We start from the raw sequence: 14,605 nt of genomic DNA, 5'->3' as shown, positions 1-14,605 counted from the left end.
TTGCTGAGATTTAACCAAATTGTAGCATGGCTCTGTGGGTCATTCAGAGAAAGGGATTTCTCTACTGGCTGGAGTGACTGACCCAGTTACCAAAGACATTGTGTTGCTGCTACACAATGAGAGGCAGAAGCTCATGATTACAATTATGTCTGGGGTGCTTCTTATTCTTTCCATACCCAGTAGCAAAGGTGAATATAAACTGCACCAACCAGAAGCATTTAAACAGTCGCTACTACTGCTGAGGCCTCAGATCCCCAGAAGTGAAAATTTGGCTTAGCTGACCAGATAAGGGCCAAGTGCCAGCTCTTTGGTACCTGTGTTCAGAGACCTGGGCATCAAATGTGTGGTCATCCCTCCTTGGAGGGTCTAGGTTTCGGTAACACCACATTTACACTTTTATTTTCCTAGTTCTGCCTGAGGTATCTTCTTCATGCCGTTGGTAATCTGTGGGTGGCATCAGCATCTGCCTTTTCACTATTTAGTCTCTTTCAGGATACACCTATGTAGCCAATTCTCTGTATCAAATCTTCTTGGTATAAATATACCAAGTGTGATTTCTGTTTCCTGCATGGATCTTAACTGACCTTAACAGACATACCAGCTCTATAATACATGAATGAATACTATGCAGTTTGATTATGTTTATTCATTATCAGATTGTATTTCAGAAACTAATATTTTTATACATTTTCCTGCTTTCCACCAATATTTTATATGATCAAAATACTAAAAAAGTAAGTGATATGTTAACACAGCTTTTGCCACCAGAGTACAAGTATAGTAGGGGTGGCTAGACATAAAAGTCCAGTAAAGATTACATTAGAATAGTAATTTGCAGCCTTCAAAGCATGAGCCATTTTGATATACACAAGCTGTGTCAGAGAGTCCGGCAGATATTATTTTCCTAACATGTAGATATGCAAGCTGAGACTCAGACTTTTTCAACTTTACTCTGCTAGTAAATTTCTGCTAACTGGGACATGAACCTGATATTCCCAGCCTGCCACTCTCTCAAAAAAGAGCAGGAATTTGTCCAAAGTGATAATTTCAATAAAATATCACATCCGTTACAAGATTTCTGGTAGAGGAATTTCTGGCTCAAAAGAACAAAAGGAGCTTCTTGAAGGGCAATGACATTGGAGCTGGATTTCCAAGTGTATCCCACTTGGTCATTACAGTATCCAGCGTGTAATCTCACAGCGGCTATGAGGAGATTCTCTTGCTGAAGAGTTTCTGTAGGGCTGCCTTCATATCCCAATTTCTCAGACTATAGATGAAAGGATTTAATGCTGGGGTCACTGCCACATACATCACAGTTATCACTGCATCTTTGGGGCTGTAACTGGTCAGAGGGCGGAAATACATGCCCATCGTTGTACCATAATATAAAAAAACAACTGTGAGGTGGGAGCCACAGGTGCAGAAGGCTTTGAATAGACTCTTGGTAGATGGAACTTGGAAGACTGTGGAAAAGACCTGAACATAGGAGACAATGATGCATAGTAATGGCAAAGAGAAAACGCCGACCCCTAGGTACATCATCTTCACATTAAAGTGGACGTCAGAACAGGACAACTTCAGCAAAGGCATAATGTCACAGTAGAAATTGGCTACTTCCTGGTTGCCACAGAAGGACAAACTAGCTGTGAGCAGAGTGTGGGGGAGAGCACTGGTGTTTCCAATCACCCAAGACCCAGCAATAAGCAGGATACAAGACCGTGGACTCATAATTGTTGTGTAATGAAGTGGGCAGCTGATGGCCACAGCTCGATCGTATGCCATTGCAGCCAAGGTATAGCTGTCTGCCTTGGCCAAGGCTATCATGAAATACATCTGCATTAGGCATCCCCCAAAGGAGATGAACTTGCTCCCCAAGAGATGGTTGGCCAGCACCTTAGGGATGGTTACGGATGAGAAGATGATGTCAACCAAGGAGAGGTTGGCAAGGAGAAAATACATGGGGTTGTGAAGGCGAATGTCAGCACAGATGGCCAAGATGATGAGCAGATTTCCAGTCAGTGTGATGGGGTAAATGCACAAAAAAATCACAAAGAAGACATTATTCTGTTCTTGCTGACTAGTAACTCCCAGGAGAATAAAATCCAGGTTAAAGGATTGATTTTCTTTCTTCATGGCTTCTTCAGCATGAAAGGGGAGAGGAACCCAGAATTATTAGCGCAGTTAGTGTGTGTTATAGTCTGCCTTATCTACCACTTAAACGTTTTTAATTATTTTACAAATTCACCTGCTGTCAAACTTATCCACCACTTTTCATTAGCCATGGCTATACCTGGTTTTTACAATCATAAATATAGCCAGCACTTTTGGGTAAAATCTCTGTTGGTCAATGGGACGAACTCTCATTGACCTCCTGGACACTCATGTCAAAGAAGTTAGCGATCTGTGAAGTAAAGATGGTTGTCCTTCCAAATGTAGCACCACCACCTTAATATCTATAATTTAATCACATAACAAAAACCTAATTTCATGTTTCATGTCTTAGATTTTTTTTTACTTTGTAGAGAAACAATAAATATGTGAAAATACAGTTATTCATCCACTTATTTGTTACACAAGACATAGCATCTGTTCTCAAGGACCTTATAATTGAATAGGAAAGCCAGACTCACACAATAATTTTATTACACATGGTAAGAAAAGGATAGCCTCTTGGAGTCCTTGTGAAAAAAACAAACAAAAAATCCTCCAGTGCAAAGGATGTATCATAGTAGGAATGCAGTGAACAATTTAAAGTTGTTCCTCCAACCAGTCTCGGGGTGAGCCCAGAGCCCAGGAAGTCAGAGGTGTCTACACTGCCATCAGATTCTAAAACAGAAAGACAACTGGCATTAGGTCCTAGAAAAACAAGCTCAGTGAACTTACTCCACAGGTGTTCGATTTTCAAAGATATTCCCTATCTTTTTGACAGCTTTTCTCTCTTTTCAAAGCCCATAACTATACATAATCACAGTGCTTTTTCCACTGGCCTTTGTCTTGGTTCATTTTGTGTTGCTATAACAGAATACTTGAGACTGGGGAATTTATAAGAAAAGAGGTTGAATTGTCTCATGGATCTGTAGGCTGGGACATTCAAGAGCGTGGCCCTGGCTTCTGGCAAGGGCTTTCTTGCTGCATCATAACCTGTCAGAGAAGGTCAACAGGGAAGTGGATACAGGGGAAGAGAGAAAACCCGAGAAGTATACTGGTTTTATCACAACCCACTCCTGTAGGAACATTCCCTTAAGATTAATCCAGTCTTGAGAGAATGAGAACACACTTACTACCATGAGAACAGCACCAGACCACTCATGAGGGATCCACCCCCTTGACTCAAACGCTTCCCACTAGGCTTTACCTCCCAACACCTCCCACACTGGGGATCACATTTCAACATGAGTTTTGGTGAGGGCAAACTCAATCCATAGCAGTCTTCTCTTCCTTGTCTTCCTTATTTCTTTTTGTAGTAATCCAAGTCCACAGTGGATTCAACTATTCTTTAGTAAACTGTCATGTCTGTATCTGTGGTCTCGATTTCTTTTTCCCATATTTCCATATTCAGTCATCCTGCTAACATGTCTGACCAAACCCCACACTCTGCACTTAAAACCTAAGTAGTTTGCAAGATGTTTCTTTTCTTTTTTTTTTTTTTTTTTTGAGACAGAGTCTCACTCTGTTGCCCAGGCTGGAGTGCAGTGGCGAGATCTCAGCTCACTGCAAGCTCCACCTCCTGGGTTCACGCCATTCTCCTGCCTCAGCCTCCCGAGTAGCTGGGACTACAGGCACGCGCCACCATGCCTGGCTAATTTTTTGTGTTTTTAGTAGAGACGGGGTTTCACGTGTTAGCCAGGATGGTCTCGATCTCCTGACCTTGTGACCTGCCCACCTCGGCCTCCCAAAGTGCTGGGATTACAGGTGCAAGATGTTTTTGAAGAGGAAAATCATAACTTGTTTATGTTTATGTCTTCCAAATTGATTTTTGTAAAATATCATTCATTTTGTGCACCAATTAATTTGCACTCAATTATTGAGTTGAACCCAGGTTTATTTCATGGTTCCCCACATGTGGGATTCTCACAGAAACACTCATCCAGTTTATCTTCTGCCTGTACGTCTGACCTTGTTGAATCTTCATTTGAAAAAATTGTTATATAACTCAACTTTTCTCTTTACTTACCTAAGCTAAATTACCCTTTACTAATTTAGCTTAGACCATCATCATTTTCAACTTAAGTATTGTAGTAGTCCCTTAACTGCTTCACTACAGTTCCCTCTTCTTTGATCCATCTTGCATTTTGAGATCATACTAATTGTCGTAGAGACTACCAGCTGCTCACCTAAATCTGCGTTGCTGTCTTCCTCGTGGACACTCTATTAGACTACATTTCCCAGCCTCCCTTGCAATGAGGTGTGGTAAGGTAACTTCATTTTACCAACTGAGTTCTACTCATTGAGCTCCTCCATACCCTTTTTCTCCTTGTCCCAACTGAATGCAAATGGTGAAGAGGCTGAATGTGATGATGGAGTTGCATGGTGAAATGAGCCTATGTCCCTAGCTCTCCATATCCAGCAGAGCCACTCATGACCAAGAGGGCCCACTATGACCATTAGAGAAAAAGAAATTCTTATTTGTTTAAACAATTACTTTTATTTTTTTAAAACACTTTTTTTTTTTTGAGATGGAGTCTTGCTCTGTCACCAGGCTGGAGTGCAGTGGTGCCATCTTGGCTCACTGCAACCTCCACCTCCCAGGTTCAAGTGGTTCTCCTGCCTCAGCCTCCCGAGTAGCTGAGACTACAGGCCTCTGCCACCACACCCATCTAATTTTTGTATTTTTAGTGGAGACAGGGTTTCACCATATTGGCCCGGCTGGTCTCGAACTCCTGACCTTGTGATCCACCTGCCTCGACCTCCCAAAGTGCTGAGATTACAGGTATGAGCCACTATGCCCAGCCTAAACATTTTCTGATGTATTTGTTACTGTAGCCCAATATATCCTAACTTTTTTTCTTAAAACACTTTGCTGAATAGTTAATCCGATCTATAATTAATTCAATCATCAATTCCTGGTGTCTCATATAGTATACATGTGAAGTACATGCTAAGCCCTGGGTATGCAGGTCTAATTATCTTATCCCCAAACATGATGTGTTCTTTCATCTTTGCACCTAAAGTCACTTGGCTTTCTGTCTTGAAATGCCCTTTCTCATCTTCACACAGAATCATAATACCTCAGGTTTCAAAGGATTCAGTAATTTTGGAGGGCTCAGAGACATTATTAGCTCCTATGATACGGAAGTGTAAGATTTCAGACAGAGGAGAACTCTGGGCAACATGGCAAAGCAAACTCATGTTGACAGGTCCTGTTTCTATTAAAACATATTCTAGATAAATTAAAATTTTTTTGTAAATGTAGCTAAGCCCAAGAGAAAACTCAGAGCAGGGGTTTTAGGCTATAACTGATGCTGTGGTGGTCCTTTGGGGTTTTGAACCAGGAATTTGGCTCTCAGGGATGGAGTCTGTGCTATTATTTCCCTTTTGGTACTGGAGATGCAGTCACAGGTCTGCAGAAGCAGGAAGCTTAACTTGAGTCGTCTGCTTAAAATACTTAAAATACTGTCCTATATTTGAAAGGATCATTGTAAGAAACTTTTGCCCCATGAGAATTGGAAAGGAAATAGAGAAAATTCACAGAAAATGTGGTTGTCTAGAAATAAAATCAAAGAGAATCAATAGATACACTAAGAGATTTCAGAAAGCTTGTTAGATATAAATCATTTAAAATAATCAATGCTGTTTTTGTATTTAGGTAAAAATAACTTAGAAAATATAATTTGAAAAAGATCCCCATTCAGAAAGCAACAGAAATTTTAGGGAATCTAGGATGATTCTAACAAAAAAAGCCAAGACTGTTATCAAATATTACAAACCTTTACTTAAGAAGAAAAAAAGAATATCTAAAAACGTGGAGATGAAAGCACCGGTGATAGAAAAACTCAATGTGGTAAAAATGTCAATTCTTCCCAAGTTAATCTATAAATTTGGTGCAATCTAATCAACATACCACAGGTTTATTTTAAACATGGAACTTACCAAACTATCCTAAAATTGACGTAGACAAATAAAGAGCCAAGAAGTCTAAGTCCATTTGAGGAAAAGCATGAGAAAAAAATTACTTTTTCAGGTATTAAAATGAATTACTATGTTCTCAGAAATAAGCTCTAGTATTTGATAGTACAGTAGGGAAATTAGAGTTAACAATAATATATTATTTCAAAATAGCTAGACGAGAAGAATATGATGTTCCCAACACAAAGAAATGCCAAATGTTTGAGACAATGGATATCTCAGTTACCCCAATTAGAGCATTACACATGGTATACAGGTATCAAAATATCACATGTACCCCCCCAAATATATACGACTATTATATATCAATTAAAAAAAGGGAATGAGTTAAAAATGCAAAAAAATAAGGTGTACATATTCCTTAAAAAATGAATTACTGTGGTAGTTGAAGCATTTGAGTAGTTCTGGTGTAGGGACTGAAAATTAAATCTATGTAACAGACTGGAGAGCTCAGAACAGACCAAGCATTGCACCAAGCAATTTATTAGACATTGGTGTATGACATGAGTTGGTTTATAATACTGTAGGCAGAGAAAGGATGGACTGACTTTAGCTAAGAGTGCTGGAACAATGGGATACCCATTTATTTAAAAAGTGCAGAAAAATAATTCCCAAGGGATTAATTGTAAGAGCAAAGCTTCCAAATTTTAGAAGAAAATAGAGAAAATATATTTGTGATATAATTTATTTCTTAAACCACATAAAACATGAAAGAGAATATTGTAAAATTTGACTACATTAAAAATGGAAAACATTTGGTAAAAAACATACCGTAAGGAGGGGGAAAGATGAGCCATGAACTGAAAGAGGTATTTGCAGAACACATAATCGATAAGGAATTCATATTCAGAATACGTAGGAGTCCTATACACTAATAAGATAATTTTTAAAATTTTTGTAGAGACAGGGTCTCGCTATGTTCCCCAACCTGATCTTGAACTCCTGGCCTCAAGTGACTCTCCCATCCCAGCCTCTCAAAGAGTTAGGACTACAGGTATGAGCCAGCATGTCTGACCTCATTTTATAAAAAATAATGTGATTGAAGAAAGAAGTTACTGAAAGATATATACTATATCATATAATATGTGTAAATTTTAATGGATAAAATAATACATGTGTATGTAGTCAAAGTATAAATCCTGACTGGGAGCGTACTACCAACTCTAGAATTGCAGTTATGTCTGGAGGTAAAGGGGAAAAAATTAGATTTTGGATGGAAAAAAAGGGAGTCTCAAAAGTATTTGTAGTATTTATTTATTTAAAAAACTTAGAATAACTAAGACCACATTCTTATATTTGTTAAATCTAGATAATAAATTTTTGTTATATTATTCTCTTTGTTTTGCTGATGTTTTAATCATACTATTATAATAAACACATTTAATAATTTAAGGTAAAGATTTCACATATTTGATAATAATTGGATCAAAAGTGTGTCCATGGCACTGGGAAAAGATTGAGAATAAATGGGGAGAAAAAATGTATTTACATGCTCAGCCAGGCTTATTAGTAGAGAAATTTGCTTACTGGCCCCAAAATTACATTTAGAAAATGCAAGTGATGGTGTCTGTCTCTTTAAAACAATTCCTTGTTTCCTCATCACCTAATGGATGAGGTCTCAGTGCCTTATTGTGCCTTACAGTCCTGGAAGAGGGGTCTTGATTCAGACCCCAGGAGAGGATTCTTGGATCTCACACAGGATGGAATTCAAGATGAATCGCAGAGTGCAGTCAGAAGCAGTAGTCTCTAGAAAGCTACTCTCTTACAGGGTAGGGCACCCTCAGAAACTAAGCAGAGGAATGCACTGGCTTTGTGTCAAGTTTTTATATAGGGATCTTGTTTATGTCAAGACTAAACTAAGCTGTAACAATGTGCGGGTTGGCTGATGGCATGACAAAATTTATTATTTTATTGATTTAAAGAAAACTATTCTTGATATTCTGCTGTGTGAGTACATCGAAGCATAATTTTCTTTTTTTTCACCATTCACATTTATTAAAATTAAAACTTCCTCATATATTGAGCAAAAGTGTGGGTGTATTCTCATACATTGTGATGAGGGTATAATTAGAGATTCAGAGGACGTTCTCCTTAGCATCCATTTTCAAAAATGTACATGCCCTACAACACAAAAGGTCTTAAATATATATTGTACAGAACACTAAAAACCATTCTGAGACATATATAGAGTGATATGGTTTGGCTTACAATTTTCTTGAAAGCATGTCTTGTTATAGGTATTGGGACAGCTGGACTTTTTGCTGTTGTAGGAATGTGTCCTTACAGGTATCTTTAGGCTGTTTTCTCACCTATAAACGTCTTATGACCGTGGGTTGTGACTGGCAGGGAATGTGCCTTGTTAGTTTCAAGATGGAGCTGTACTTAAAATGGCGTTACTCTGTCTCTCCCAGGCTCCTGCTTCCCTAGCATTATCATTAAGAAAAACTCAAGGACAAAGTGTTCAGTAATGAGGGTAATTTTAAATAGAAATATGTTATATATCTTTTTTTTTTTTTTTGAGACGGAGTCTCACTCTGTCACCAGGCTGGAGTGCAGTGGCACGATCTCAGCTCACTGCAACCTCTGCCTCCCGGGTTCAAGCGATTCTCCTGCCTCAGCCTCCCGAGTAGCTGAGACTACAGGTGCCCGCCACCACGCCCGGCTAATTTTTTGTATTTTTAGTAGAGACGGGGTTTCACCATGTTGGCCAGGATGGTCTTGATCTCTTGACCTCATGATCCGCCCACCTCAGCCTTCCAAAGTGCTGGGATTACAGGCCTGAGCCACCATGTCTGGCCAGAAATGTGTTATATATCTTTATCAGGAGCCGAGGGTACAGGGAAGGGATTAGGAAGAATTCAGTCAGGAAAAGAAATTTGGGGTTAAATTATGAAGGGTTTTGACTAACACAAGGAATTTGTACTGTCTTCATTAGGTCCCTTTGGTTTAATGTAAACATAGGTATGGGGCCCATACATTAGATGCCGGATCAATAGGGCAACATTTTGGAATGACAATCTGGTGCAAGGACAACCAGAAGCCAATAAAATAAAATAAAAAAATTAAAGACTGTAAGAGAAATAGCACCAGAAAAGGAGAAGAGGTTGATAGAATTAATCACTGTGGGATCTAAAGCAACCCAACACCAGAGGAAAGTTTACTGGGCACATGGGCTGGATGACAGACATCTGCAGGGCTGGATGTTAATGACAGAGCAGGAGCACCCTCATCTCGGACAAACTCCACCACTTTAAGTTTCAGCTCTCTTTCTAGCCTCATGCATTTCAAAGAAATCACTTCTCTTCTAACAACAAGCAGCCAGAAAGAGCAGACAGTGAAACACAGATAAGACAGCTTGGGCACAGAGGGAGGCGGGGGAAAAGTCTGTTGGGTAACTGCCAAACTTCACCCTCATACAATGGGCCCCAGTAAAACAGTGGGCCTTAATAACCACATTCCTTTCCCTTCAGGTGCACTAACGGAAGCTAAAAGCAGACTCGGGGGGTATCCCTGCAGCTGCAGGAAGATGTATGGGAACAGGCACACAACTCTCCCTCCTAGATAAGCACAACAAGGAGACACAGAAGCAGTCCAAGCCTCTGATAAACTCTCCTGCCCTGAATCCTTAAAATTTCTTAGTCTGTAAGACAGAGTGCCTCTAACCTAACTCAGCCAGAAGCCCCCCTCAGGTTTATTTTCCAAAATAAACATCATCCCAGAGGAAAGGATGGGCAAGAGGATTTCCTGGAGAGTATGTCTCCAAGGTCCAAACTATGGGCCAAGCTAGTTCATCCTACTTATTGGAATGCAGACCCCTCTTCTCTGCTGTCTAGCACAAACTTGGAACCATGCCTTGGGAGCTACAAGGACTAGAGTACAATTGAGTGGTTGGTCTTTCTTCTAGCTCATGCTCAATCCTTCCTGGTGTTTAGGATGCAAAGAAGAATTATATTTTCTCTTTTCTCTAGGATTTGACTTGAGAAGGGTTAGAGTAAGAGTCATACTTTTAAAATCAAGCATACTAAAGGTAGGTATTTTAATTTTTTAGAGTTTCAGAGATGAAAAGGGCCTATATGTCTAGTCCACTTCACCTGCCTGCCACTTTTATAATAGCTTTAATTAACGGTCATGATACTATGACTTAACACCTCCACTGGCAGAGAAGTTACTATGTTTTTGTTTAGGGCAATGATGAACGCTATAAGCCCTGGCTAGTTTTCAATCCTGGCTCTGCGCATATCACCTGAAACTGACCTTGGACAGTTATTAACTTATATACTCATCTGCAAAATAGAAATAATAATAATAACATCCTCATGAAGTTATTATGAGCACCAAATTAATACCTGAAAAGTTTTTAAAACTGAGCCTGGCCCACAGTTAGCATTTAGTAAACATTATCTATTATTTACTAACACCTAAACTAGTTATGTAATTGTTGGACAACTCTCTAAAATCTTCTAGGAGATTCTGCAAACGCTGGATGTTGCAACAACTTTTGTTCAATTGCATTTTCTTCTAGATATGTTTCAGGTCACACCATCCTGTTTGCTCTATTTTTACTTGCCCTGTGTTCAGCTCATGCTGTAGTTTCTAGGACACAGTTTCCAAAAACACAGATATGACATCCCACAATAAATGTTTTCTTCCTAGTAACAACATTTCACTATTGAGGTCCTTCTCAGAATGTCTTACTACTTCCAGGTTTTGTTGACTGGGTACTCATTAGGCACAAGGAGTTGCACACGGGCATAGAAAAGAACTATAAAGAGGCTGGGTGCGGTGGCTCACACCTGTAATCCCAGCACTTTGGGAGGCCAAGGCAGGTGGATCACGAGGTCAGGAGATTGAGACCATCCTGGCTAACATGGTGAAACCCCATCTCTACTAAAAATACAAAAAATTAGCTGGGCGTGGTGGTGGGCGCCTGTAGTCCCTGCTACTCGGGAGGCTGAGGTAGGAGAATAGCGTGAACCCAGGAGGCAGAGCTTGCAGTGAGCCAAAATCACGCCACTGCACTCCAGCCTGGGTGACAGAGCGAGACTGTCTCAAAAAGAACCAAAGAACCATAAAGAAAATAATGCTTTAACTTTCAAACATTTGCACATATTTTCTGTGGGCTGTGACTGCAGATTTCATTAACTTATGAAGGAAATCACTATATTCCACTTATCCCCCAAAGAGAAAAACCTGCAGATAAGAGAGAGTACATTTGTTCGTTGGCAAATTCCAGGTTTGGTTAAATCCCTTCTTTTTTACAGACATTTTGTATAAAAGGAATGATCAATGAAAAATATTTGCAGAATAAAAAACAGCAATCAACATTTTAGATACTTGGGACAAAGTTTTATACTTGAACACAATTTAAGAATGAACCAAAAATTTTTAAATTATTTTTCTTCTTCTTAAGACATTAAAACTGAGAGACTGTATAAAAAAAAAAAAGAAACAAACTCAATGAAAATAAAGTTGACCAGAAAACGGCAAACAGAAATAAAAAAGGGACAGAAAAAGATTTTAATTGGCATTTTAGCCAAATTGTCATTTCAGAAAATAAATTAATAACATGTAGAACTGACTTCAGAAGTCTTTCCTTAAAGAAGATTAAAAAGATAAAGAGTTTAAAACAATAAGGAAAGAAAATGAAAAACATTGGAGAAAATGTGGATCTCTCACTTCGGAGTAATAGTTTCATAAAAAGAAAGCAGAACAAATAGAACAAAAGCAACAATTAAAGTTACAGGCCAGGCACGGTGGCTCATGCCTGTAATCCTAGCACTTTGGGAGGCTGAGGCAGGTAGATCACCTGAGGTCAGGAGTTCGAGACCAACCTGGCCAACATGGCAAAACCCTGTCTCTATTAAAAATACTAAAATTATTCTGGCGTGGTGGCACACACCTGTAGTCCCAGCTACTCCAGAAGCTGAGGCAGGAGAATCACTTGAACCCAGAAGGCGGAGGTTGCAGTGAGCCGAGATCACAACCACTGCACTCCAGCCTGGGCTACAGAGCCAGACTCTGTCTCAAAAAAAAAAAAAAAAAAAAGTTACAAAAAAGGAAATGTTTTAGAAAATCGAAAACCTCAGATCACAAATGGAAAGCCTCACTGTAGTTTTGAGACTATTAATGAAATTATCCATAGATGTATCTTAGTAATATTTTGGTATTTTAGTGACAGGAAATTTTTTTTTTAGATCCTCAGGGATCTAGAACTAGAAATACCATTTGACCCAGCCGTCCCATTACTGGGTATATACCCAAAGGATTATAAATCCTTTGTGGGGTGGGGGGAGCGGGGAGGGATGGCATTAGGAGATATACCTAATGTAAATGACGAGTTAATGGGTGCAGCACACCAACATGGCACATGTATACATATGTAACAACATACGTTGTGCACATGTACCCTAAAACTGAAAGTATAATAAGAAAATAGTTGAAAGTTTAATGCCAGGGAATAAAGGATTACCTAAAGAGAAATAAAAGGTCAAATTAGCTTTAGACTTCTCCCTACAAAACATCAATGCAAGAAAACACTGAAGAATTATTAGAGTTTTAAGAGGAAAATTTCACAACTCAAAGTATACCCAGCTAGGTTATTTCTATTGTGGATATATTTACAACATGTGGTGAAAATATCCTATTAAAATAAAATCTTATTTGCACAAATTAAATTTTTTTTTGGAATAACCTGTATTTTAAATCTTTGAATAACTTAACAAAGACCATGAATCTGAAGACTGGGAAGAAATGCAAGGAGCAAAATGTATTCTTTTTTTAATTGTTACTTTTTATTTTAAGTTCTTGGATACATGTGCAGAACGTGCAGGTTTGTTCCATAGGTATACATGTGCCATGGTGGTTTGCTGTACCTATCAACCCATCATCTAGGTTTTAAACCCCGCATGCATATTAGGTATTTGTCCTAATAGGAGCAAAATATATTCCAATTCTTGTGACTCAGGTTATTGTTTGGTTCTTGAGTTTATAAATAGAGAAAAAAAAGTTTAAATATGTTAAGCCTTCTAGTTAACTAGATATCCACTAGTAGAATAAAAAAGTCATTGTATCACATCAGCTGTGGCCTATATGATCACAGGAATAGATACTTGGAATACAGTTTTTTACTTGAACAGAATTTAAGAATTAGCAAAATTTTTTAAAAAAAATTATTTTTCAGCTGGTCATGTTGGCTTATGCCTATAATCCCAGCACTTTGGGAGGCCAAGGCGGGAGGATCATGAGGTCAGGAGTTTGAGACAAGCCTGGCCAACATAGTGAAACCCCATCTCTACTAAAAATATAAAAAATCAGCCAGGTGTGGTGGCGTGCACCTGTAATTCCAGCTACACGGAAGGCTGAGGCGGGAGAATCTCTTGAACACTGGAGGCGGAGGTTGCAGTGAGCCAAGATCACGCCATTGCCCTCCAGCCTGGCTGACAAGAATAAAGCTCTGTCTCAAAAAATATATATTTTTTACGTTCTTAAGACATTAAAACTGAGAGACAGTGTAAAAAAGAAACAAACTTAATGAAAATAAAGTCATTGAAAATATGATGTCATAGAGTGAGCAGTAAACTCATATTTTAGTTTAAAGAAGTCCACTGGAGTCAGACATTACATTTATCTTTAAGCAGAAATAGAAAATGGGTGAAATTCCAAGTCTCTAGCAACTAAAAAAACAAAAAACAAACAAAAAAAGCAGGTAGTACGAATAGTTCCAGAAATCAGAGGTGCAAATTTGAAATCATTATTTAGTCAATTAACTAATTAATTGAGGCCATCAGGTTAACATGCCTGAAAGACACAAGATTAAAGATCACATTCCATAAGATATAAAAATAATATTTGAAAATTAAAGTGTCTTGAAAAAAACTTCTATTCGAGGATATATTTATTTTGAACTAAAAACCGAATAGGATGCTTACAGTTGAAAAATTTTATATGAGCCTTTATACTAGAAAAAGAGAGTGAGATAATTTTGTGCCTTATTTTCAGTTTAAGATCTTGTCAGAGTAGTATCTCTGAACCAGATTTTCAGTTCGGGATGTTGTCAGCCCTCTGCAGCTATAAAGAATTCGCTATCCTTATTTTTATTTTCCATTGTCATTTTTGTTCACAGGGAAAGCATGTTGGCTCTCCAGAGAAATGGTAATATATATACACACACATACACACACAAATCTGAAATAGAACCAATTTTATTTATATAATATATAAAATTATATATACTTATGTAAAACACATAGTATAATATATAGAGAAAAGGAACCAATTATATATCTGTTTATTCATTTATTGTAAGGAAGTAACATGCTGTTCATCTCTGAAGAGTCTGGGTTAGGTAAGAAAGTAAAGATCCAAGCCTCTGGTAAGCGAATATGAAATCTTGATCCTTGTACTGTTTGGAAAGAAAGATGACATAAGTGTAAACGTCTCTCCAAGCTGAAGTCAAGATATTCCAAAGACAGTCTGTGGG

At 38.4% G+C, this 14,605-nt stretch overlaps 1 protein-coding gene across 1 annotated transcript; it reads right to left on the bottom strand.

Moving 5' to 3' along the window:
• Positions 1-1,203: 1,203 nt before the first annotated feature.
• OR1A2 (olfactory receptor family 1 subfamily A member 2) lies at positions 1,204-2,133 on the bottom strand. Its single transcript, NM_012352.3, has one exon. It carries the CDS (start codon positions 2,131-2,133, stop codon positions 1,204-1,206), a length of 930 nt encoding a protein of 309 aa, NP_036484.1.
• Positions 2,134-14,605: the final 12,472 nt, after the last annotated feature.

This window comes from Homo sapiens, chromosome 17 (assembly GCF_000001405.40).
Source record: "Homo sapiens chromosome 17, GRCh38.p14 Primary Assembly".
In the NCBI taxonomy this organism is placed as follows: Eukaryota; Metazoa; Chordata; class Mammalia; order Primates; family Hominidae; genus Homo; species Homo sapiens.
Note: the sequence above shows the minus strand (reverse complement) of the source record. Positions and strands in the feature narration are given on the sequence as shown.

Bases quoted from the DNA above. Each gene is read 5' to 3' on its own strand.
- OR1A2 (NM_012352.3), bottom strand. From the start codon at position 2,133: ATGAAGAAAGAAAATCAATCCTTTAACCTGGATTTTATTCTCCTGGGA.